Consider the following 25,456-nt stretch of genomic DNA (forward strand, 5'->3'; position numbering starts at 1 on the left):
AGCAAAGGTATCTACAGTATAGCATTATTGGACTTATTTCTATTGGTTTCTGGAAGCTGTTGGTCTTAGCAGTGTCAGCCAAGTCTTCCATTCCTGCTAAATAGCCAGGAATCTTGGAGGAGTTGAAATTATCTTGCCTTGTGCTGACACATGTTAAAGTTTTGACTAGTGACATCTGGTGTCAGTTTTGGGAAGCTGGGAAGACAGTGGCAAGCAAGGATGATCCAAGGGCTTAATGTTGTCTTTGATGGAGCCCTCCTTTCCTTGAGGTAGCTGCCTGAAAGTTTGTTAGCCGAGTTTTGAAGATCAAGCTGTAGCTGTAGGTCTTTCAGGCAGACCATGGTACGTTGCTCCCAGATTCCACTGGCAGGAAGATTGGGCATTTCACTGAAGCTTGAAATCAGACTAAACCTACAATTCATAGAGGACTGGGAAAGAGGAAGGTATTAGCTGGGGGTATCATGGATGCTGTAAGTTCAAATGGCTGCCTTTCAGTTATGAGTAGAAACTAAGTGATAAGAAAACAAGAAGTCGTCTTATGTTGGGTCCAACTGTGACTGTTCTGATATCTCCTGAATGGAGACGATTCTTACCTAATTCCCCTACAAATTGCAAGACCTAGAATTTAAAAGATGCTCATTTATTTTGACTGTGATAATGGAAAAAATTGCCAAGGAGCTTGATGCCAACAGAGATTTGAGTGAAAATGCACCCTGAGTTCAGGTTCAACTCATCCATCTTGGCTGTATGAAGGAAACTAAGTTCTTGCTGACTCTATAGAAAATTTTCACTTTTGAACCAAAAAATTGTTGAAGCAAATGGGCTATGGGTTGGCAGAAGGCCTGGCCATCTCTGTAGCATAATCTGAGGTGGTTGTGGACCAAAATTTTATGAAACATTTGAGACAGACCTGGGGGAGAGGAAGAGAAAGAGGGGCCTGGCATTCTAGCCAGTATTTTCTCAATGACAAGGAGGCCGAGGGGGATTAAAAAGAAATAGGCAAGACTTAGAGTGTCCGTGAAGGAAGGACATGACAAGAGAAGGAAATATCTTAAAGATGAATACTCAAGAGGTAACAACTCATACACTTGCAGAGAAGATTGGAAAACTATAAAGCAAGCTGTTGCAGGGGGAAAGATTGTGATGACTGTGACCTGAATGCATTATGAATCCTCAATTGAAAATATTCTTGCAAATCTGCATGAGACAATATAGAAGTTGGAGAGACAACACTGTATCTGTATTCCAAGAAGAACTGCGTTATGACTAGCAAATGGGCAGAAGTGACTTATGGAAATAAGTGATAGCCAGGGCTGACTCTTCTGTCTCTATTCTCGTGAAGTAAAGGGGGAAAGCAGAAGATACTTCTTTAACTCCTTCTTGCAGGAGAGATAAGAAAGGGCCTTCCTTTTTTGAGTTGGTGTGAGAGGTTGATTGTAAATGAATAAGTACAAAGATACATTTGCTTCCATAAACTTGAAACTTTATTACCTGCAAACCACCATCCGAAGAGATGTATGCATAGTCAGATGTTCCACAGAAACAGTTTTAAAAAGTGGGTGATGGCCCATGATAAGCCATGGTGCCTACAATCCCAGCACTTTGGGAGGCTGAGATGGTCGAATCACTTGAGTCCAGGAGTTCAAGACCAGCCTGGGCAATGTGGCAAAACCCGGTCTTTACCAACAAAATAAAATAAGCCAGGCAAGGTGGCATGTGTCTATAGTCCCAGCTACTCAGGGAGCTGAGGTGGGTGAATCACCTGAGCATGGGAGGTCAAGGCTGCAGAGTGTCATGATTGCACCACTGCACTCCAGCCTGGGTGATAGAGTGAGACCTCATCTCAAAAAATAAAAAGTGGGTGAGGGGGACAGGCAGACAGCAGGGGTAATGTTAGAAACAGGGTTAATAAATATGGTCCAGACTGTGTCACCAAAAAGATTTCTTCTGTGGGAATTATATCTTTATTAGCAAGAAAACTTTGCTCAGAAGTTTCCTGAGTTCCCTCACCCTGACTTGATGGAGCACATTAAAATACCTTTTCCCTCTACCTTTTGATGAGTGATCAAGGAATTCATTTGTTTGGAGAATTAAGTCACCTAGGCCATTGCTATCTTGAGTGGGAATTCATTATGTGGCATAGTCAAGCAGAAGGCAACTGGTGTTGGTGCTGTTGTCATACAGTTTGCCTTTTAAGCTACACACCTATATTATTAGATAAAAACATTATTTTTGCGTGTTGTGCTAATAAGAGCAAAAAGATAAAGTCCCTGAAGAACCTAGATGCAGGTTTTTGGGGAGGATAACTGTGGACATGTCTGCTCCCTGAACCCTGGAAAGATTTATTTTACTGAACAAATTCTCATTAAGTGATACAGTCAAAGGGAAATGAAGAGCTACTCCACTTTAATAACTACTAAATTAATCCAAGAAACATTTAACTTGTAAGTCAGGCACTCCCTAGCCCAATGGCTTTGTAGTTTTTTTATTTGTCTTTGGTTTGGGGTTTTTTGTTTGTTTGTTTGTTTGTTTGGCTTAGGAACAGAGGAAATAGCAAAAAAGACTGAAAGATTATTGACAAAGATCAAGATCCAAAATCAGAAGCTTTCATTTCCAACTAAACTCTGTACAAGTGTTCTGGATGGGGCAAATTAACAATTTAACTTAATGCTTGCCAATGAAGATGGTAGCTTGCTGTGACCTTTTTTCTATGATGTACCAGAAACAGCAATCAATTTGCCCCTTAGAAATTGTGCCCAGGAATAAAACTAATGCTAGGGAGAGTACACTGTATTGAAAGCACCCTGGAGTTAAAACTAGAGTGGTTCTATGTAGCCATAGGAATAAATATAAAGATTAAATAGACTAAATGAAGAGACTGATATCAACCTTTCTTTTTTATTCCTTAAAACTTGGCTAAAACATGCACATGAAAATTTGATCTAAATGCCTTAAAATAATATTTGTATATTTTAATCAAAACTTATGAAAAGGTCTAACTAGGTAACTTTTTAGCTGTTTCTCGTTTATCTGTGCATGAAGAGGTAGTGTGTACACGAAGAGGTAGTGTGTACAGAGGCTACACATTCCTCGACTTCTAATGAGAGCCATCCACATTTCGGCTACAGGGTCTATGAGGAACAAACCAGCTAGTTGAGGGCCTGGCTTACAATACAATGTTTATTCAGTAAAGACAAAGAGTGCAGTTCTTTATCTTTTAAAGAAGTGTGGAGAGAGGGTGGAAGGATTGGATATTTGCAGGGAGGGAAAAGGAAGGACAGCTCAGGGCATTGAAGGTAAATGCCACTTCTCTGTCAGGGTGGTCAGTGCCGGCCAAGGGTCTTTGTGTCGAAGGGCTATGCAAAGAGAAGATGTCAGAGATAAAAGGTTTTCACCTGTGGTTAGGCATTGCCAGATCTCTTGATTTAGGGCTGTGGCATTGCCTTGAGCAACTTACTAATGGAAAGGACTATTTGACTTAGAGGCTCGACTTTTTTGCGCTCAGGAATTTGAGTTACCAGTTATTTTTTACCCATTTAAGGACATGCATTTTCTTGCCAGTAAAGTTCAGATTTCCTACAAGATCGGAAATAAATAGTATATGAAAGTACAACCTGTAAATTCTCATTTGCTGAGCTCCTACATGAAAATTCATATATTTTTTCTATAGAAATACTCCTAATCTTGCTTTCTTGTGTATCTGTACCAGTAAAACGTGTCCCTTGCGTATAATTTATAGAAGTATTATATGAGAATATGCAAGAAAAAATGCTGGTATAGTTACAGTGTTAAGGGTTTATACTATTTCTAAAATAGACTGCATCAGTGATTAAAGAAATCGCTTTGTAAAATGGTTTTTCTTTCTCACTTCTACCCCCATTCTTATGGACTTCGTTGGGTGAGCATTTCTATGCCTGGGAGTCATTTTCTTGGCAAGTTGCTGTTAACGAGAATGTCCTATCTCTCAGCTGTGCTAGGACAGAAAATCATACTGACACTTACTGTGACAGGCAGACTAGTGCCTCCCCACAAAGATGCCCACATCCTGATTCTCAGAAGTTGTGAATATGTTGCCTTACATGACAAAAGAAATTTTGCAGCTACAATTAAATTAAGGACCTGAGATGGGAAGATGACCCTGGATTTTCTGAGTGAGCTCAATCTAATCACATGAGTTCTTCCAAGTGTTACAGAAAACCTTTCCTACCTGGGGTCAGAGGGAGATGTGACTATGGAAGAGAGAACCAGAGAGACTGCAGCATGGGAGGGACTTAGCTCCATGTCTCTGGCTTTGGTTAAAGATGGAGGAAGGGGCCAGAAGCCAAGCAATGCCAGAAGTTCCTAGAAGCTGCAAAAAGCAAGAAATAAGATTCTTTCCTAGAGCTTCCAGAAAGAGACACAGCTTAGTGAGACCCCTATCAGACTTCTGACCTTCAGAACTATAATACGTGTGTGTGTGTGTGTGTGTGTGTGTGTGAAAGCCACTAAGTCGATGGCAATTTGTTGCAGCAGCTGTAGAAAATTAATTCATCTACTGTCCTGGATTGAGGGTCTGGGACCTGAGTCCTGGAGTTCTTTTTCTAGTAGTAAGCTTTGCTCTGTGAATTTTTCTACCCTGTGAGCCAAATTCACAGGTCTGTATTTATAAAAAATGGGCTTCTTGAGTAATACAGATGAGAAAAATTTTAAGGACAATATATGTGGTTGTGGTAGTGTTGACAGTCAAAACAAGCACTCTGAGAACTACATTATCAGAAAATAGTGCATCTCTGTTTCAACTGAGTGTTCATCTCCTTAAGAAAGCACATTCTATATTTACTCAGCAGACCAGGATGAAATTGCAGTGGAGGGATTGTCTGAAACTATATTCACCTAAAACACAATTTTGCTAAATCAACTTTTCGAAAGTTCAGTAAAACTTTTGTTTTTAAATGATGTCAGAATAAATTGTTTGACTATATTAACATTTCAAATAGGTGTATTTTAAGTTTTTAAGCTAGCTTGTGATTCACATATGATTTTTTGTTAATTTCAGTTCATTTGTAAGCTTCAGTATCCTTGGGTGGCTGTGATTTTTGATGCTTATTTCTAATATGTTGAAATGTTACCTTTGAACTCAGAGCTAGAGTTTTAAGATAAACTGGGAATATGGGCAGTTTGATATTCAGAAATAGCATGGAAGATGGAATTGCTCTGTTAAAGTAGGGAGGAGTCTGGAGCCAAGTGGGGTGGGAGCGGGTGAGCTACCTGAACTTCTTGAATAAGCCCATTATGCAATAGCATGATTATCTCCAGAGAAGTTGGGGTGGTGTTCTGGATGGCAGCACAGTGGATGTGCTGCAAAGGCATAGCTGAGGTTTTGAAGAAGTGAGATGCAACAGAGCAGTAATCATGACATAATGTGTATATACAACATACACACGTGTGCAAATATTTACAACACAAAGGCATATTGATCAGCTAAAACAGCATGTATATTTGTAAACAAATAAATTACAAAGTATTTGTAATTCTACCACTTGGAGACTCGACTATGTTTTTGGAAATCTTCTGGTCTTTTCCTTTTGCTTTGCACCCAGTTTCCTTGCATAATCACTCTAGTTTACTAAAAGACAATTTGATGTCATTGTCAAGATCATGGTTTTTAAGGTCAGACAGCCCTGGGTAGAGTCAAGGCTCTGTTATGTTATAGGAGGCAAGTTATTTAACCTTGTTGAGACTTGTTCATCCATACAAGGAAGGTGATGATACAAATAACACAGTATTGTTCTGAGGATAAAAGAGAAAATACCATGATTTTCAATCCTCACTGCACATTAGAATCATCCAAGATCTTTGAAAAATTCCAATATTTGCATCCCACCTCCCCAGAGAGCCTGATGTAATTGTGCTGCCTTGGCTTGGCAGGTTTATTTCTGTTGTTGTTTTTAGTGATTTATCTAGGTCACTATGATGCAGCCAGGAGGACTGAGAAGTTCTGCAATAATGTTTGCAAAGCTCTTGATACTTAAAGCTCAAAAAGGCATTAGCATCATTATTGTACTTTTTTTTAATAAAAATGGATTAATAAAGCCCATTATTACCTGTTTTTTTTTCCCCACTCCCCTGCCATCTATGAGCTCTGGAAAAAGCCTACCACACTCCTCCTTTAGAGGTAGAGTCAAATCAACTAATTTGATTCAGCTTTCACTGACAAATGTGCAGCTGCCTTGTTTATCAGTTTCCAAGGCTGGATAGTATTCAGTAGTATCTTTATATTCCAATTTACTTAATTAGCCACACTAGAAATTTAGATCATTGAGAGTATTGTGCTAAAGAATATCATGAATCAGCTTGTGCATATAAATATCTTTATAGCTGTTCAACTATTTCCTTAGGATAAATTCTTAGAGAAACTGCTGGCTCAGAAGGTACATACACTTTCAGGGCTTCTCAACATTGTCAAATTGCCCTCCTTAATGGAGTGATCAATGTCATTTCAGATGTGTTAGGGCTACAAATAAGAAAAAAACTTAGTTCGAATTAATAAAGGAGATTGATTGGCTCATGTAACTGGCAAGTCTAGAGATTAAGTGAATTTCAGAACTAGTTTGATTCAGCATTTCAATAATACCATCAAGGATCCATCTACATCCCTTCATTTTCCCCCTTAGCCCTATGCAGTACCAGCTTTTTTTTTATAGTTGAAACAGGACTGCCAACAATTCCTGGAGACGCATGCTTCCTAATGCATACACAGGGAGAGAAGGCAGCTCCTTAAGCTCTGACTGTAAGAACAAGGAAGTTGTTTTCTTCAAAGTTCCAGCAAATCATGCCTTACTTCTGATTGGTCTGGTTTTGGTTGATCAGGGATGAGAACATGCTCATTAGTTTACCCCTGAGTTGCTGATTAGCTCATGTCTAAGTTATACAAAGAGGTAGGCTTCTTCCAGAGCTCATAGATGGCAGGGGAGAGCTTCAAATGTGCTGAAGGAAGGAGAATGTGCAGTGAGGAGACAACCACAATGCCCATGATGAGCAAAATTTGAGAGAATTAAATCTTGCTGCTACCTGCAAAGTTTGAGGAGAAGGGAAGAAAGTGAGTTTGTGAGAAATGGGCCTTAGCATTGTGTTATGAGTCTACCGTAGGCAACTTAAAGACATTTCCACAGCTGTAGGGGTGAATCAGTTGCATGCCTTCTGCCTAAGAGAATCCACTCAGGATGGTTTCATCCACATGAGTCTGGTGAGTTTAAAGAGTAGTAGGTTCAGTATCACAGGGCTGTTGCGTTAATCTGCAGCCAAAATGAGTGACTTCAATTTTCTGTACCATTTTATGTCTCAAGTAAACAAATACATAATTTCTTATAGCAAACATATATAGCAATCTTAAGTAAACCATTGCTTTTGCAAGTCTTGTTTCTTATTAACTGATCATCAATCGAAGTCAGGTGGAACATGAAGCAAATCTTTTATGAGAACTGCTTGATGATTATAGCCCTGAAAACCCTTTTTCCCTTGAAATACCATAATATAATGATTCTCAAACAGGATTCTGTGCACCAGAACCCTCTGAAAGAATTGTTAAACATAGATTGCCAGGCGCCAACCCCAGAGTTTTGATTTCAGCTTAACTGTTAGAAATGCAAATTTCTAACAAGTTCCCAGGTGAAGCTGATGTTGCCCATCCTGGGACCACCCTTTGAGAAACACTGACACAGTGCATGGACATTTTTGCATCATAAAGTGGTTGCAGGTGAAAGCTTTGGAGTTGGAGGCTCTTGTATTTGAGTGTAGCTTCTTACCAGCTCTGAGAACTTAGAAAGATTCCTTAACCTCTAAGCCTCAGTTTTCCTAACATTGAAATGGGGAGTAACTTAATACCTCTCTTATCTTGTTGTTGTCAGAATATGGATGTGCATATTCTTGCAGCCCAACTCAACTGTCACTTGTTCAGGGTAGCTTTCCTGACATCTGTTACTAGGTCAATTTCCTTTCTTACATGCTTAAGTACAGCCAGACTCTTTTAAGAGCACTCATTCACGATTTTGTGCATTTGTTAGTAGGATTAATTTGATTAATCCGTCTTCCTCAACCAAAGTATGGGTTTCATGAGACCAGGGATCAGTCTTGTTGTTTTTCTTTTTTTAAAGCTAATTATTGTATCTTCAGTGCCCCCCAGCACTGTACCAAGCATCTGCTTTACATATATTTTTGAATAAATAAAACTTAACATGTAAAGCAATCAACACATTTCCTGAAATACAGTATGCATTTCGCTCATTGCAGAAAATGTACAACTATAGTGGTACATTTACTTGTTTCAAGGATATTCATTATCTGCTCTTACTCTCCCAACCCACAATCTAATCTCTGTCTCCAGAAGTAGGGAAATATAGTGCTTTATGTGGGTTTGTGTGTGTGTGTGAAACTGGTTTGTAAATGGTAAAGTGTTCTATAAATACCCGGTGTAGTTGATTATGAGAACCTTCTAATGACTGTTCCAGGGTTAAGCAAACTGTTGGTTTTCCATCAATGCCTGTGGTTGGACACATTTGCCCATTAAGAGATACATAGTTGAGGAATGCTTGTTTCTATCAGCCTCGAGACTGAAACCTTTCTCACCTTGTATTGGATTTGAATATAGGCATTAGGAAAGGTCATGTGTTGATTTACTTTAAAGGCATTTCCTGTGTGGCCAGGTTCTAATTGGATTCCATCTTATCATGAAAGTGATCTTACTATGTCTCCTCAGGGTGCTATTGGTCTAGCAATTCTCTTTGATAACATTCTGGTTTGCTACAGCTCTTTCAAATCCAGACCCAGAGGAGTCTGGGATAGGGAAATATTAACATTTAGATTTATTTCTCATGGCAGTTGTGTAATTGAATTTCTCTCTTGCTAACCCATTTTAAACTGGTGTAACTATCACTGTCTCCAGTGGAACTCTTAAATAGAAAGCATTGGTGGAATAATGTCTACTAAAAAGGATTATATCAATTCAGTCTACCCTCAGCATTCTGTACAAAAAATTTGCCATATTCAATAGCACTGAAATACATTTTCAAAGGTGTCAGTATTTCTATTCCAGGGACCTTTAAAGATCATTTAGTCCCTCTAGGTCTCTAAGTGGAACAATTTCTTGGGCAGGTCAGAAATGTAATTGTCATGATATATGAAAGACACGTTTTCCTTATTTCTGCTTACAACCTTTCTGTCAAAATCCAATATGTATTTAATTGTTCAAATGTTCTCTGGAAGAGATGATTTGAGGAAATTTGAGGATTTATAGTTTATTAGATACATTCTGCAATACACAGTTGAAACTCATTTATATAAAATGAGTATGAATTTTGTTCCATATATCTAAGTATAAGAAAAACACATTCATTTCTTTATAATAAATTGAATTAAACTCTGAGAACCCACTTTCCAGCTGCCAAGTTTTGGGACACCTTCCTCCTTCCTACTGTCTCAAAAATCAGGGTAACTCTGTGTCTCTGGGGCATGTAAAAAGCATCCACAAAGTCCAATTTATTATGGGGCTCACTGTCCAAGATTGATAGTCTATTTGGGGAAGGGTGAGTTTGTCACTGTGTACTGACTGTAGGCCTGGTGACCCTTTATAACAGCTCTATGCCATGATGGAAGAGACACTAAAATGCTAACAGAAGAGTAGATTCTTTCCTAGAGTTCATCTAGTGGTATTACTTCTCAGTTTAAGACACATAACTATTGACGTACAACTTGAACATGCAGTGGCAGTCAGATGTTAGAGCACTGGGACAGTTGAAGTACTCTAAGAGCAAGGCTGTGAGAAGTAGTCAAAGAGTGTCACTTTTCAGAAGTCTTTGCTCCTCCACCAGATCAACCGGGTGGGCCTTACCTGCCTAATTGCTAGCTGGCTGCCTCCACCTATTCTGCCTCCCTGCTCCACCCTAACCTTCACTAGCATCTAGTGGAGGAACTGTCATATCAGAAAATACAAGTCACCATGCAGATGCAGCCTTCTTCTCTTATGGAAATGTAACCCTCACAAGAAAATCTCAAACCTGCTTTCTTTTTCCATTGGAGGAAGCTCCCTCAAGAATCCAGCCTACACTGCGCATTTGTGGTTGTCCCCCATTAAACATTTATACCATTGCCGTCAGCTCCTGATTTCTATCTGGAGGTTCACGTTGTTCCAGGGAACCTGACCAATCCCTTGAAAAATCCCACCCATTGAATGGGGGGAACTGATGTTGCTTGTTACTTGATTCAAGCCTCCTGGTGGGCAGAAGGTATTCTTAATTCTCCTAATCCAGCCTCTGTCTTAGGCAGATCCTGTGCATTAAACCTCACAGTGGGGCTTTCTCGGTGTTCCTGTTCCCCCTGCCAGGGCTGCAAAACTCTGCCTTGTGTTAGTCTTGTGTGAGAGCGTGTTTCCTGCCCCTCCTGCAATGGAGGAGCCTAGATCTGATTGAGTCTCCTGGACCTCCTTTAGTAGAAGGTGGCTTTGGGCTGGGCCTACTGAGAGGTGAAAAAGTTTCCTATGCAGATAGCTTTTATTGTTCCTCTAGGTTTCCTTATTTTTATCAGATTGGGAAAAAAGTTTAAAGGTTTAACAATATAATTGCTTTTTGGTGAGAAGTTATGCCAAAAAATAGACCTCTTATATTGCTGAACACAGAGCTAAAATGTCCAACTGCCATGGAGGGGGAACTCAGTGTCAAAGAAAAGTACATATTAATTTTATCAATAATACCAAACCTATGAATCTACTTCTAAAATATGCTGAAACAGTTATGAAACATATGTGCAAGATCTTTTTGCACTATTTTTAAAACAAGAGTTGAAACATCCATTAACAAAGACTTGATTGAATAAAAAACATATTTATACAATAAAGTCAGCAAAAGTGAAGGAGGAAGATATCTGTGTGTAAACATGACATCATCTTTATGCTATATTGGGAAATGGAAAAACATCATATAGAATGGTAGGTAGCGAGGTAAATATTATGGTTAATTTGATGTGTCAACGTGGCTAGGTTATGTGCCCAGCTGTTTGGTGAAACACTAATGTAGATATTGCTGTGAAGATACTTTGTAAGTGTAACATTTACAGTCAGCTGGATTGCTTCTCAGCATTTTGGCTAAGATCAAATGTAGTACAATCAGTTGGCCTTAAGTACAGCAGATTACCCTGTATAGTGTGAGTGGGCCTCATCCAATCAGTTGATGGTCTCGAGCAAAATCTGAGGTTTCCTGGAGAAGAAGGCATTCTCCCTCAAGACTGAAGCATAGAAATGCTGCCTGAATTTCCAACTTGCTTGCCTGCCCTAAAAACTTTGAGCTTGCCAGCTCCACAATCAAGTTGAGCCAATTCATTAAAATCCCAAAAGCTCAAAGTCAATCTCTTTATCTTCTTTCATATTGGCTCTGTTTCTCCGGAGAACCCTGACTGATACAGCAGAAAAATAAATGCTGTAGTGATATAGCATGCTGCCTTTTGTGTATAACACAAAATATCAGAGGGAGAAAGTAGAAACTACCCAAAAAAATCAGCTGCAGGAAGCAATTGGAACAGAGAGAGGAAAAATTGAAAATGAGACTTAGTGGAGTACATTCCATATAGTTATCTAATAAACTTGTTTTTCTATTGAAATACAATTTTTTTTTCATTTTGGAACCATGTCAAGTTTTATCTCTTCATGAGTTTAACATTCTTTTCTTTTAAAATATTGCTATGTAGTTATGGATATATAAGCAGTATACTGGCTAGTCTTATAATTTTTTGATTTTTATAAAAATAGAACCATACTTCAGAGGAAAGGTTATCAGAGGGAAAAAACATTTGTCAGACATAAAACAAGTATCTATTCCTGAGATGCATCCAAATTGGTATCTTTATTTTTTCCCCTTGCTATACAGTATTGCATTGTGTGAATATACTACAATCTTTAACATTTCTTGTTGATTATACCTTTCTTCTTTAGTGCTGAAGCCAGTTCTGAATGATTACACTTTTATAAAAATTCTTGTGCAGCTCTTACTACACAAGGGCAAGAGTCTCTAGGGTATTTATCTAAATGCACAAAAGCAGAATTGTGCAGGGATACGAGGTTATGGGCACCTTCAGCTTACTAGGTGATGCGTGTTTTTCCAAATCGCACCCCTAGCCAGGAGTGTGTGAAGTGAGTTCTCATTGCTCCATATCCTTAACAACACTTGTTATTGCCATTTTTTCTAACTTCTGATGACCTGGTGGTTACAAAATGATTGAATTGTAAATTTCAGTGATTTGTTTCTAGGCATACCTTTAGTAACTTTAAATATTTTTTTCAAAGTCTTTCTCTCTAGTTTTAAACAGTTCTCTTTATTTTTAAATTGTCCTAGGCTTACTTTTATATTGTTTTTTTAGATTTTGTTTTATCTGAAATTCTTGGTTTTAGCCATCCTATTGTGTCTATTAATTCTCATCCTAGAGGATATCCTTTTGTGTTTTATAATTTTTTATTGCCTGCTTATTTCGGTGGTATTGTATCTGATAGAATCCTCTGTAGCCAAAGGTGCTATGTGGTTTGTGTTTCATTTTGTTGAGACGAGATTTCACTCTGTTACCCAGGCTAGAGTACAGGGGTGTGATCATGGCTCACTGCAGCCTTCAACTCCTGGGCTCAGCCTCCCAGTTAGGTGGGATTAGAGACATTCATCATTATGCCCAGCTAATTTTTTAAAAAAAAAATTATAGAGATGGGGTTTTGCTATGTTGCCCAGGCTGGTCTTGAACTTCTGGGCTCAAGTTACCCTCCTGCCTCAGCCTCCCAAAGTGTGGGATTACAGGCATAAGTCACCATGCTGGGACTAGTGCTATGTTCTTTCTCTAGGGTGTTTTTTCTTTTCTTTTTTTTTTTTTTTTTATTGATCATTCTTGGGTGTTTCTCGCAGAGGGGGATTTGGCAGGGTCATAGGACAATAGTGGAGGGAAGGTCAGCAGATAAACAAGTGAACAAAGGTCTCTGGTTTTCCTAGGCAGAGGACCCTGGGGCCTTCCGCAGTGTTTGTGTCCCTGGGTACTTGAGATTAGGGAGTGGTGATGACTCTTAACGAGCATGCTGCCTTCAAGCATCTGTTTAACAAAGCACATCTTGCACCGCCCTTAATCCATTTAACCCTGAGTGGACACAGCACATGTTTCAGAGAGCACTGGGTTGGGGGTAAGGTCATAGATCAACAGCATCCCAAGGCAGAAGAATTCTTAGTACAGAACAAAATGGAGTCTCCTATGTCTACTTCTTTCTACACAGACACAGCAACACTCTGATTTCTCTATCTTTTCCCCACATTTCCCCCTTTTCTATTCGACAAAACCGCCATCGTCATCATGGCCCGTTCTCAATGAGCTGTTGGGTACACCTCCCAGACGGGGTGGCGGCCGGGCAGAGGGGCTCCTCACTTCCCAGAAGGGGCGGCCGGGCAGAGGCGCCCCCCACCTCCCAGACGGGGCGGCTGGCCGGGCGGGGGCTGCCCCCCACCTCCCGGACGGGGTGGCTGGCCGGGCGGGGGCTGCCCCCCACCTCCCTCCCTGCCGGGGCGGCTGGCCGGCCGGGGGCTGCCCCCCACCTCCCGGACGGGGCGGCTGCCGGGCGGAGATGCTCCTCACTTCCCAGACAGGGCGGCTGCCGGGCGGAGGGGATCCTCACTTCTCAGATGGGACGGCTGCCGGGCGGAGGGGCTCCTCACTTCTCAGACGGGGCGGCTGCCGGGTGGAGGGGCTCCTCACTTCTCAGACGGGGCGGCCGGGCATAGACGCTCCTCACCTCCCAGACGGGGTCACGGCCGGGCAGAGGCGCTCCTCACATCCCAGACTGGGTGGCGGGGCAGAGGCGCTCCCCACATCTCAGACGATGGGCGGCCGGGCAGAGACGCTCCTCACTTCCTAGACGGGATGGCGGCTGGGAAGAGGTGCTCCTCACTTCCCAGACTGGGCAGCCGGGCAGAGGGGCTCCTCACATCCCAGATGATGGGCGGCCAGGCGGAGACGCTCCTCACTTCCCAGACGGGGTGGCGGCCAGGCAGAGGCTGCAATCTCGGCACTTTGGGAGGCCAAGGCAGGCGGCTGGGAGGTGGAGGTTGTAGCGAGCGGAGATCACGCCACTGCACTCCAGCCTGGGCAACATTGAGCACTGAGTGAATGAGACTCCATCTGCAATCCCGGCACCTCGGGAGGCCAAGGCTGGCAGATCACTTGTGGTTAGGAGCTGGAGACCAGCCCGGCCAACACAGCGAAACCCCGTCTCCACCAAAAAAATACTAAAACCAATCAGGCGTGGCGGCGTGCGCCTGCAATCGCAGGCACTCGGCAGGCTGAGGCGGGAGAATCAGGCAGGGAGGTTGCAGTGAGCAAAGATGGCGGCAGTACAGTCCAACTTCCGCTCGGCATCAGAGGGAGACCGTGGAAAGAGAGGGAGAGGGAGACCGTGGGGAGAGGGAGAGGGAGAGGAAGACTGTGGGGAGAGGGAGAGGGAGAGTCAGAGTCAGAGTCAGAGTCAGAGTCAGAGTTAGAGTCAGTGAGAGTCAGAGTGAGAGTCAGAGTCAGAGTCAGAGTCAGAGTCAGAGTCAGAGTCAGAGTCTAGGGTGTTTTTTTCATTGGCTTCTGACGAGTACTCCAGGAACCTCAGCAGCTTCCGACCATGTTGACATCTGATAACTTGAGTTGATGGATTAGAAACTATTTGTATAAGTTTCAATCTCAAATCCATATGATGCATAAGTTTATGGTTAGAATTTTTCATGGAGAATGTGTCTTTGCCCAAATCCATACCCAAGGTTAAGAAACGAATTTTTAATTGCTTTCTTGTGATATTTTGTTTTCTTTTTCTATTTCACCTCCTGATGAGAAAGCACCGTAAGCATCTTAGCTTTATACACTCATCTCAGTTCCAACTTTTTGCTTCACTTAGGTCCAGGGACCACTCTTCTGTCTTTGGGCAGTAAAACTCAAGCCTCTTAATTACTAGGATTGACAGGGCCCCTGCCATTAGGACAGCCACAGCCTCATCACACAGGATTTTGTTTGCTCTTCATGTTAGGCCCTATGATATGCTTTTGTCTATTGTCTTAGGTATGCATGTGATACGAGGTTATATTTTATGTAGCATTTCTATATGCTTGTAGTGAAAATATTCTGAGTTATCTAGCATTTCATATGCTGCAACTTGCAGTCTCTTTAATGTTCCAGTTTATTTACTTATTTTATTTTTAGGGTTTTTTTTTTGGTGGTGGTGGTTTGTTTTTGTTTATTTGTTTGTTTTTGCAACTGAAATATCCTAACTATTCAATCTCTAAGCTCTCATGTTCTTCCACCCACTAGGGCACCTCAGCTTTGCATTATATATATACACTGTTAGATGTCTAGTATTAAGAACACAAAAATTCTCCTTACTCTGACTTGAAAAAAGCCAGAGTCTCTGGGATTTAAAGCCCTTCTAGAGAAGGAGAGTGGAAAAGGAGGGAGAAGCAGATTTACTTTTTCCCTTCATTTGCTATAGCAGTGAGAGTATCATAAATCCATACATCAATAAATTATCCTCTACAAACTTGTTGGTATTAATCTGAGGCAAATTTGTCCCAAATAATGTTACATGCGTGCACGCTCACTCCCCTTCCCCTGCCCCACACACACGCTTTAAAGAGCAGGGTTAGACAAATTAATATACTTCTGGTAAATTACAAGGCTTCGATGCCAAGGCTGCTGTAATGCCACAGAAAAGAAAAAAATGTTTATTTGAGCATATACTGTTTACCTAGAACTGTCCCAAGTCCATCCTCATAAGCAGCCCTGGAAGACTCTTGATCCTAATTAAAAAATAATCTTAAAATCCATTCCTTTTAAAACTTATGAAGCTGGAACTATATATAATTTCAAATTACTTCTCTGGTCTTATTTTTTATTGTGAGTTTTTATGCTGAGTATTTTCTAAATATTGTAGACGTAAAATATGCAATTAAACTGCTCATTTCTTTATAAACTTTACCGTCTTTTTAAAAAAATCAGAGTATAATATTTAAGTAAATCACATTCTTATTTTCAGGGAGTAAAGAGATACTGGACAATTAATATAGAAACTGTAACCCGTAATTCATCTAGTGAAAGGTACGTGAAAATAGATCATTAATTAAATTAAAAACCAATAATCAAATGTCTCAAAATGATGAGTTTCCCCAACCCAAATGTATGATGTGAACTTTGCAGTCAGGTAAGGCTTTTTGTTCCTACCCATTTCCTTTTGCTCTATATGTATTATTTTTGCCATGTTTTTGGTGAAAATTATTACTAAAACTTACCACACAGCCATTTCCCCTCTTTAAGAGCAAAATTCTACCTTCAGCAATAGAATTCTTACTTCTTTTCCCTTTTTTTGTATGTACTTAGACGTTAAACTTATACTTCCATCAGGCATTATTATAGCGTATTATGCTAGGGATTGCATGCAAGAAATATTTTTTCCAAGAAAATTATGGCTCTGAAATTTCCATTAATGGACATTTTAAATTAAAATTTAAATTACTTAAAAACTCCCTTTCAATAACAATGTTTGACTTTTTTTTGTCTCTCCACCTATTCTAAAAAACAAAAATACAAACCCTCACTTATCAAGAGGTCATTTAAAAAATATATCCCAGTATCTGACGTTCAGTAACAAAGTCAACTTACCAATGGAACAGAACAGAGGCCTCAGAAATAATGCCACACATCTACAACCATCTGATCTTTGACAAACCTGACACACATAAGCAATGGGGAAAGGAGTCCCTATTTAATAAATGATGTGGGGAAAACTGGCTAGCCAAATGCAGAAAACTGAAACGGGGCCCCTTCCTTACACCGTATACAAAAACTAACTCAAGATGGATTAAAGATTTAAATGTAAGATCTAAAACCATAAAAATCCTAGAAGAAAACTTAGGCAGTATCATTCAGGACATAGGCATGGGCAAAGACTTCATGACTGAAACACCAAAAGCAATGGCAATAAAAGCCAAAATTGACAAATGGGATCTAATTAAACTAAAGAGCTTCTGCACAGCAAAAGAAACTATCATCAGAGTGAGCAGGCAACCTACAGAATGGGAGAAAATTTTTGCAATTTATCCATCTGACAAAGGGCTAATATCTAGAATCTACAAAGAACTTAAATTTACCAGAAAAAAAATCCCATCAAAAAGTAGGCGAAGGATATGAACAGACACGTCTCAAAAGAAGACATTTATGCAGCCAATAAACATTAAAAAAAAGCTCATCATCACTGGTTATTAGAGAAATGCAAATCAAAACCACAATGAGATACCATCTCACACCAGTTAGAATGGTGAACATTAAAAAGTCAGGAAACAACAGATGCTGGAGAGGATGTAGAGAAATAGAAATGTTTTTACACTGTTGGTGGGAGTGCAAATTAGTTCAACCATTGTGGAAGACACTGTGGCGATTCTTTGAGGATCTGTAACCAGAAATACCATTTGACCCAGCAATCCCATTACTGGAAATATACCCAAAGGATTATAAATCATTCTGCTATAAGGACACATACGCATGTATGTTTATTGTGGCACTATTCACAATAGCAAAGACTTGGAACTAACCCAAATGCCCATCAATAATAGACTGGATAAAGAAAATGTGGCTCATATACACCATGGAATACTATGCAGCCATAAAAAGCATGAGTTCATGTCCTTTGCAGGGACATGGATGAAGCTGGAAACCATCATCCTCAGCAAACTAACACAGGAACAGAAAACCAAACACCACATGTTCTCACTCATAAGTGGGAGTTGAACAATGAGAACACATGGATATAGGGAGGGGAACATCACACACCAGGGCCTGTTGTTGGGTGGGGGGGCTAGGGGAGGGATAGCATTAGGAGAAATACCTAATGTAGATGATGGCTGATGGGGGCAGCAAACCACCACGGCACGTGTATACCTAGGTAACAAAACTACATTCTGCACATGTACCCCAGAACTTACAATTTAAAAAAAGTAAAACAAAGGATGTTGAATAATCAAAAAATGCATTATCCTTAGCACTTTAAAAAAAAAAACTCGATTTTCAGAACACCGGTTGATTTTATTGCCCACAGCAAATTAAATACAACAAATACACAACAAGTTGTGACTAGAGTTTGACACACTCAAATTCACAAGAGATGGTTGATGAATGAAAAATCAATAATTCAAATGACTCAAGTCTTTGTTAAGAGTAAGGGGAAAAGGTTGTTTTCATAGTGATTTTTTTGAGTTTTGAGAGTAACTCCTATATATGCCTCAGTTCTCAGTTGAGATATTACTTCTGTAAGGAGACCATCTCTGAATTCCTACCTCTCTTCCACCACTACCACCTTGAAGTTAGTTCCCTTGTGATAGCATTGATCACACTGTGTCATCATTTCCTCATTATATGCAGTTACTACTACTAATTTCCAAGCAAGTTCATGACATTATTTTTATGTGGCTTTCTTAGTCTTGAACAGTGTCTATTACAATAAATATCTTAAAAGAATGAAAGTATTGTCACTGGTGTTTATCACATCTGTGACCTGGAATTAATAATTAATTGAAGTAATGAACTTTCAGAACTGAATAGCTTGGGAAAATTAGTCTATCCATTCATATATACAGATGAGGAAATTAAAGTCCAGGGAAGGAAAATGACTCAACCTAAAAAACAGGTAGTACATGACATACCTAAGTGAGAACAAGTATCTTCTGAATCTTATTTCTGGCTATTTCTATGACCTGATGTGGTTGTTAAAGATGACAGCAAATTGAATTTGTACTGTAAACCAGGCACTGATGCTCAACAAAATACCTGTTTAAGACTCATTTAGTCTTAAACACCCTGATGAAGTTTACACAAGTATTTTCCACATTGTTTGAGGCTCATAGCAGTTGAGAACCTTGTCAAGAAATTGAAGCAGAGTTTGCATCTTTAACTCCAAAATCCCAACTCCTCACTACCACCCCAGCCCATCCTTTAGGTTCATTCTCCCAATTATAAAGGCAAGCCACATGTGAGTCCACTGTGCTGATTTCTAAAATGGCTATTGGTTCATGACTGCAAGCCAAAATTTCTGAATAAATGGAGATTTAATTCAAATTTTAAAAAATGAGGAGAGGATTACTTCAATGGTAGTAAAAACTTGAAAAACATTGATTTGGATGGGATATTAAGTACTTAACAAAATATAACCTAGTCTATGAATATGAAAATAATATATCTACATTGAACCATCAAACTCAAAATCATGCATGAAATATTATTTCCCACGTAAAATATTTTTGAATATTTGGATTATACTTAAAAGTATTGTAAAGCTGATAAAACTTTGAATATAAGTCTGCTTTAAGTTTTTGTTAGCAGTTTGTGCAAAGAAAAAAAGACTCCCCAGGTAGCGAGAGGTGTAGGCTATTAGGCATTGGGATAATTGTAGAAGAGTCTATGTAGCTGTCTGGTTTGTGCCTGGTTAGTGACTGGCAGGCAGCTGAAGACAAGAGCAGGTTACCCTGCATCTGCATGCATGAAACCTATCTTTAGGCCTCTGAAATGAACATGGCAGTGGCATGTGTGCAGTATGCATAGAAGGAAGTAAAGGCTATGCCACTGGTGCATTCATTTCAGTGTAATAAAACTAGTCATCATGGAATCAACCTAGATGGCCATCAATGTGGACTGAGAAAATATAGTACATATACACCATGGAATACTATGCAGCCATAAAAAAGAATGAAATCATATCCTTTGCAGCAACATGGATGCAGCTGGAGGCCATTATCCTAAGCAAATTAACACAGGAATAGAAAACCAAGTATTGCATGTTCTCAGTTCTGAGTGGGAACTAAGCATTGGGTACACAAAAGCACAAAGATAGGAATGATAGATAATAGGGAATCCAGAAGGGAAGGAGTGGGGCAAAGGCTGAAAAACTACTTATTGGGTATTATGCTCACTACCTGGGTGACAGGATCAATTGTATTCCGAATCTCAGCATCATGCAATATGCCCATGTAAGTAAAAAGCCTGCACGTGTACCCTCTGAACCTAAAATAAAAGTTGAAGTTATAGAATAAAAATAAAAGATAGTTAAGAAAGAATACTTCTCCAAGTGAAGCTATTAATGTATTAATACTAAAAAGATAGAGCTGGTTCTTATTGGGAACTTATTACGGGTGCATGACTTCATTTAATCCTCGAATTAGCTTATGAGGTAAACAACACAATCATCCCCATTTTATCAATAATGAAACTGAAACTCAGGTTAAGTAATGTGCCTAAAATCATACAGCTATTTATTTTCTCTCTAGAATCTGCATTTTAGCTATAATCCTGTTCTAGGGATGCAGTAAATATGTTTTCCTTTTGCATAAAGAAGAAGCAAGCATCTTCAACTGGGAGAAAACAGGGTGATCCAGTAGAAATAATTTAAAGAGAAAAATGTGGGTTCACTATATGAAAGTGCATGTTGCCTTTAACATAACATACAGGTGAGTTAGGCAACATACTGTTGTGTTGATTTGTCACTAAACCGCTTTCACAGGAGAATATGTGTATGTTCTTTCTATGATCTCCCCAAAGTTTTGTAAGTTCTCATGATACTTGCTATATATTCTAAACAACTGTGGCCTGTAATATTCCTCAGTAGAGTGAACTACAGAAAAGGCCCTGACACTAACCCTTTGTACCATAATATTAGCCAGTTACACTCCCACAGAAAATGAGAGAAGAAAAGAGTTAAGATAACTAAGATATTCATTAAAAGTGCAGGCCTACTTGTTTCTGCGATGATTCAAAATGATGATGATACCATTGGAAATTGTACAGATCTATCTGTGCTATTTTGTGCGGCCAGAGTTTTGGGGAGCATGTTTGGAGTAGAGCTGCTGGATCAAGCCCTTCATGCATAGCCGATTATACTTGGACAGTGCAAAGGCCGGCACACTGTTGCTATTTATGGATGAAAATCATTTTGTGATTTGTTAGTAGCTCTGTAGAATACGTTTCTAGAAGTGAAACTGCTGAGTAAAAAGGATTTTTAATGCAATTTAATATTGCCAAATTGCATCCCCACAAATAGCATTATAGTTTATTATCCCATCAACAGTGAAAGGGATGCTCTTTAAAAAAAAAGTTTAATTTTCACTACAAATGTCTTTCTTTTATTTACCCCAAATTACATTTTTTCCAAACAATTGTTGTTTACATAGGAGGATCATAACAGTGGCATCTAATTAAGTCCTAACTGCCAGTATTTCTTCCTGGAAATAGGTCTACCTTAGGGGTTAGAATATGAGGGGCAGTATTACCCCATATAACAGAAAGCAAAATAGCTGAGGATTAATTCGCTGGCATATATATTATGTTGTTTAGATACTACTTCTCAAATCTATGCCCATTTTTTTGAGGATCTCTTCTCTTTAAGTGTGCTGGAATTCTTGATCCTCCTTAGAAGTGTAGCTCATTTATTTTGTTGCTTTGCTAGTATCATGGCATACTAATAAGGCTTTTGTGAAATGTCAGCATAGACTCTTTTTTTCTCATCCTGCAATTAGTGAATTTGCTGGCAGCCTTCATTGTTCTGTTTTGAGAAAAATTGACTGTTACAGAGATTGTAGCAGCATTTATAATTATAGGCCAGGAATTGGGGTTATTATTTATTCTATTGGATTTAGAAATTCCTGTGTGAATTTGCACATGTTCTTTAGTGTGCTGCTTTTCTATGGTATAAAAATTTTTAAAGTCTATAATCTGTTTATTTCTTTTGTAGGAAAAAATGACAAAAAGAAACATACTTAAAGATATAGAGTAGGCCAGGCGTGGTGGCTCACTCCTGTAATCCCAGCACTTTGGGAGGCCCAGGTGGGCGGATCATAAGGTCAAGAGATTGAGACCATGCTGGCCAACATGGTGAAGCCCCATCTCTACTAAAAATGCAAAAAAAAAAAAAAAAAAAAAAATAGCTGGGCATGGTGGCATGTACCTGTAGTCCCAGCTACTTGGGAGGTTGAAGCAGGAGAATCACTTGAACCTGGGAGGTGGAGGTTGCAGTGAGCTGAGATTCTGCCACTGTACTCCAGCCTGGTGACAGAGCAAGACTCGATCTCAAAAACAAAACAAAACAAAAACTAAGGTTTTTTTTCTTCTCCCCAATTAGACCAATTTCAGCTAAGACGTATTGAAAATCTCCTGTAAGCCAATTAATATGGAAATCTCAAGATGAGACCCTTGTCCCTACCATCAAGGAAATTAGTTGGAAACACAAACGTTTAAACCAATAATTATTATGTGTAGAGTTTTAAAAAAATGAGTAGCAAAGACAAATAACTACCCCTCAATTAGGAGCTGCAGAATAAAAATCATTTTAAGCATATGCAAAGAATTTGAGACATGTAAGAGTTACACCATATTAAAGAAAAAGACAGGTGATGTTTGGTGAGTGTTTGAGTTTTCTAATGTGCAACAAATTATCAGAAACTTAGTGGCTTAAAACAACATTCATTTATGATCTGAGTTTTTGTAGGTCAGAAGTCTGGGCATGGCTTATCTGGGTTCTCATGAGGCTGAATTCAAGCGTCAGTCAGGCTGCATCCTCCGTGAAACTTGGGGTCATCTTTCATGCTTACATGGCTGCTGGCAGAATTCAGTTCCTTATGTTAGAAAAACTGAGGTTCCCCATTTTCTTGCTGTCAGCCAATGTCTGCTCTCAGGTCCTAGAGGCCCCCACAGTTCCTCATTACATGGACCTTTCTATAGGCAGTTTGCATCACTGCTTCAGGGGAACAAAAAAATCCCTATACATGAAGTTATTGACCATTTCTAAAAGGCTCCTGCCTGATTAATTTAAGCCCACTCAGGGTAGCATACCTTTTATTTAACTCACGATCAACTGTTTTGAGACCTTAATTATATCTGCAAAATACCTTCACCTTTGCCATGTAATACTACATAATAACAGGAGTGATATCACTTTTGCCATCTTGAGTGGCTAGAAAGTTACAGACTCTGCCCCCATTCAAGGGGAGAAGGTTGAAGAAGGGGATGAGTTACGTGGGTAACCTTAGAACTCTGCCTATGAAGGTAGGTAGATTTAAGCAGCAACAGGGATTGAACTCTCAGAACTCTTGTTCAGTAATCTAAGGGTCAGGGATTCTCTCCTGCAGGTAATGTTGATTTATTGTTAGGTTTTAATCCAAGAAAGACTGCAGTTTAGTAGAATAAAAGATAATTTCTCTGGCTGTGTGAAGAACGGTTTGACAGTTGTGCTGGATGAGCTACAATTAGGAGTTGATTAAATAAGTCAGTAGGATTGCCTCAAGACTGCAGCCTTGGCAGTGACCATAAAGACTGGCAGGAGGGGCAAATACTAGAAATATTTAGAAGGGAGAATGGAACAGTAAAAAGTGAGCGATTGGATATGCTGGCCAATATATAACTGCATTTAGCTGCTCTTTCTCAATCAAGATTTGATCCTAAGGAGACAAAAGGCATATGAAACACAGCCTGCAAAGGATATAAGTATACCTTGTGAAACGATGTTAGAATTTTAGAGCAATTGAAGAAAAGCTAAGAGTTTAAGTAAGTTGTGTTTATGTAGCAGTCTACATTCTCAGAGCAATCTTTACGTATGGGTAAGCTATATGTATGCTTACATTGTTAAGCTGTGACAGTAAGTAGATATTTTGAGAACTTTTTACATCAATAAAACATCAAGTTACGTAAAAGTTGCAAGAAAAGAACAAGGAACTTCATTATATCCTTTGTTCAGATTCATCAGTTTTCATTTTGGCCCATTTACTTCATCATTCACTTTCTTTATATAGAGATACAGATGTGTATATACACTTTTGAAACATTTGAGAGTAATTTGCAGACATTATGCTTACTTATCATTAAATACTTGTGTCTATTTCCTAAAAACAAGGTTTCTATTTGCTAATGTTTTGTGAAAGATTTTCATCTATGTTTATAAGGAATGGTTGTTTGGAATCCTCTTAACTCTTTTGTTAGCTTTTTGTATCAAGGTATACTGGCTTCATAAAATGCATTGGAAAGAATTCTCTTCTCTGTTTTACAAATTTGTGTAAGATTGGTATTCTTTCTTCTTTAAACGTTTCATAGTATTCACCAGTTATACTATCTGGGCCTAGAATTTTCTTCTGAAGAAGCCTTTTCATAATGAATTGGATTTCTCTACTAGACAAAGGGCTCTTCAGATTCTGTTTCTTCTGTTTGTGTTTAATCAGTTATAATTTTCAAAGACTTTATCCTTTGCATTTTTGTTGAATTTATTGGCATTTTTCTTCCCGTATTATCTTATTCTAAGTTTTTGTCTTTAAATAATTTCAGACATGTGAAATTTGTAAAAATACCTGTATACATTCACTCAGATTCCCCAAATGTTAACATTTTAAGCCAATTACTTTGTTCTTTCTTTCTCTGCTTTTTTATACACAGATATTTATAAAATATAATAGGATATAATAATAGATTTCTGAACCTGATACTCTGTCCTAAATTACAGATATAATAGCTCTCTATCTCTAAATACAATTGTATGTATTTCCTAAAAACAAGGATGTTCTCTTTCATAACCACAGTGTAATTTTCAAAATTGGGAAATTAACATTGTTACAATACTATCATCCAAAATACAGACCTTACTCAAATTTTACCAATTGTTTCACTAAATATCCTTCATAGTAAAATAAATTAAAAAATCCCTGATTCAAGTTCCAATTCAAGCTCACGCATTTAGTTATCAAATCTCTCTAATTTCCTTTAATCTAGAATACAGTCATGTGCCATATAAAGAAGTTTTGGTCAATAATAGATGGCACATACAACGTTGGTCCCATAAGATTATAATACCACAGTTTCAATGTACTTTTCTACATTTAGAAACATAAATGCTTACCACTGTGTTACAATTGCCTACAGTATTCAGTACAGTAACACGCTGTACAGGTTTGTAGCCCTGGGGAAATAGGTTATACCATCCAGCCTAGTAGGTGTGTAGTAGGCCCTATTGTCTAGGTTGGTGTAAGTAGACTCTGTGATGTCTGCCCAATGACGAAATCATCCATTCTTCAGAACATAGTCCTGTCATGAAGTCACGTATAAAGGTAGTTCCCTAGTCTTTATTGTCTTTCGTGACCTTGACATTTTGAAAAATGTTCATTTTGTAGGATGCCCCTCGATTTATATCTTTTAAAAAATATTTTTCTCTTTATATATTATTTCTCACCAGATTTGAGTTACACAATTTTGTGAAGAATATTACAGAAATGATGCGTTCTTTTCAATAAATCAATAGGCATATGATGCCCATTGGACCCATTCATGGTGGCGCTAACTTTGATCACTTGGTTTTATCAGTGTCTATAAGTTTTCTTCACCATAAAGTTAATAGTCTTTTGTGTGATTAACAAGTATT

The 25,456-nt window shown here is 38.9% G+C and overlaps 7 annotated features.

The window, feature by feature from the left end:
* Positions 22 to 191: an enhancer, noted in NCBI's record as "experimental_82741 CRE fragment used in MPRA reporter constructs". NCBI's record gives its function as "activates a minimal promoter by MPRAs in K562 erythroleukemia cells, with activity observed for both the introgressed and non-introgressed 5:151846049 variant alleles {active_cell/tissue: K562}" and the evidence as "EXISTENCE:reporter gene assay evidence [ECO:0000049][PMID:34662402]".
* Positions 449 to 618: an enhancer, noted in NCBI's record as "experimental_82746 CRE fragment used in MPRA reporter constructs". NCBI's record gives its function as "activates a minimal promoter by MPRAs in K562 erythroleukemia cells, with activity observed for the introgressed 5:151846476 variant allele {active_cell/tissue: K562}" and the evidence as "EXISTENCE:reporter gene assay evidence [ECO:0000049][PMID:34662402]".
* Positions 1,669 to 1,838: an enhancer, noted in NCBI's record as "experimental_82750 CRE fragment used in MPRA reporter constructs". NCBI's record gives its function as "activates a minimal promoter by MPRAs in K562 erythroleukemia cells, with activity observed for the non-introgressed 5:151847696 variant allele {active_cell/tissue: K562}" and the evidence as "EXISTENCE:reporter gene assay evidence [ECO:0000049][PMID:34662402]".
* Positions 6,813 to 6,982: an enhancer, noted in NCBI's record as "experimental_82779 CRE fragment used in MPRA reporter constructs". NCBI's record gives its function as "activates a minimal promoter by MPRAs in K562 erythroleukemia cells, with activity observed for both the introgressed and non-introgressed 5:151852840 variant alleles {active_cell/tissue: K562}" and the evidence as "EXISTENCE:reporter gene assay evidence [ECO:0000049][PMID:34662402]".
* Positions 10,046 to 10,215: an enhancer, noted in NCBI's record as "experimental_82809 CRE fragment used in MPRA reporter constructs". NCBI's record gives its function as "activates a minimal promoter by MPRAs in K562 erythroleukemia cells, with activity observed for both the introgressed and non-introgressed 5:151856073 variant alleles {active_cell/tissue: K562}" and the evidence as "EXISTENCE:reporter gene assay evidence [ECO:0000049][PMID:34662402]".
* Positions 12,050 to 12,219: an enhancer, noted in NCBI's record as "experimental_82818 CRE fragment used in MPRA reporter constructs". NCBI's record gives its function as "activates a minimal promoter by MPRAs in K562 erythroleukemia cells, with activity observed for both the introgressed and non-introgressed 5:151858077 variant alleles {active_cell/tissue: K562}" and the evidence as "EXISTENCE:reporter gene assay evidence [ECO:0000049][PMID:34662402]".
* Positions 14,409 to 14,458: an enhancer, noted in NCBI's record as "active region_23469". NCBI's record gives its function as "activates an Ori minimal core promoter by ATAC-STARR-seq in GM12878 lymphoblastoid cells {active_cell/tissue: GM12878}" and the evidence as "EXISTENCE:reporter gene assay evidence [ECO:0000049][PMID:35858748]".

Source organism: Homo sapiens, chromosome 5, assembly GCF_000001405.40.
Source record: "Homo sapiens chromosome 5, GRCh38.p14 Primary Assembly".
Lineage (NCBI taxonomy): Eukaryota > Metazoa > Chordata > Mammalia > Primates > Hominidae > Homo > Homo sapiens.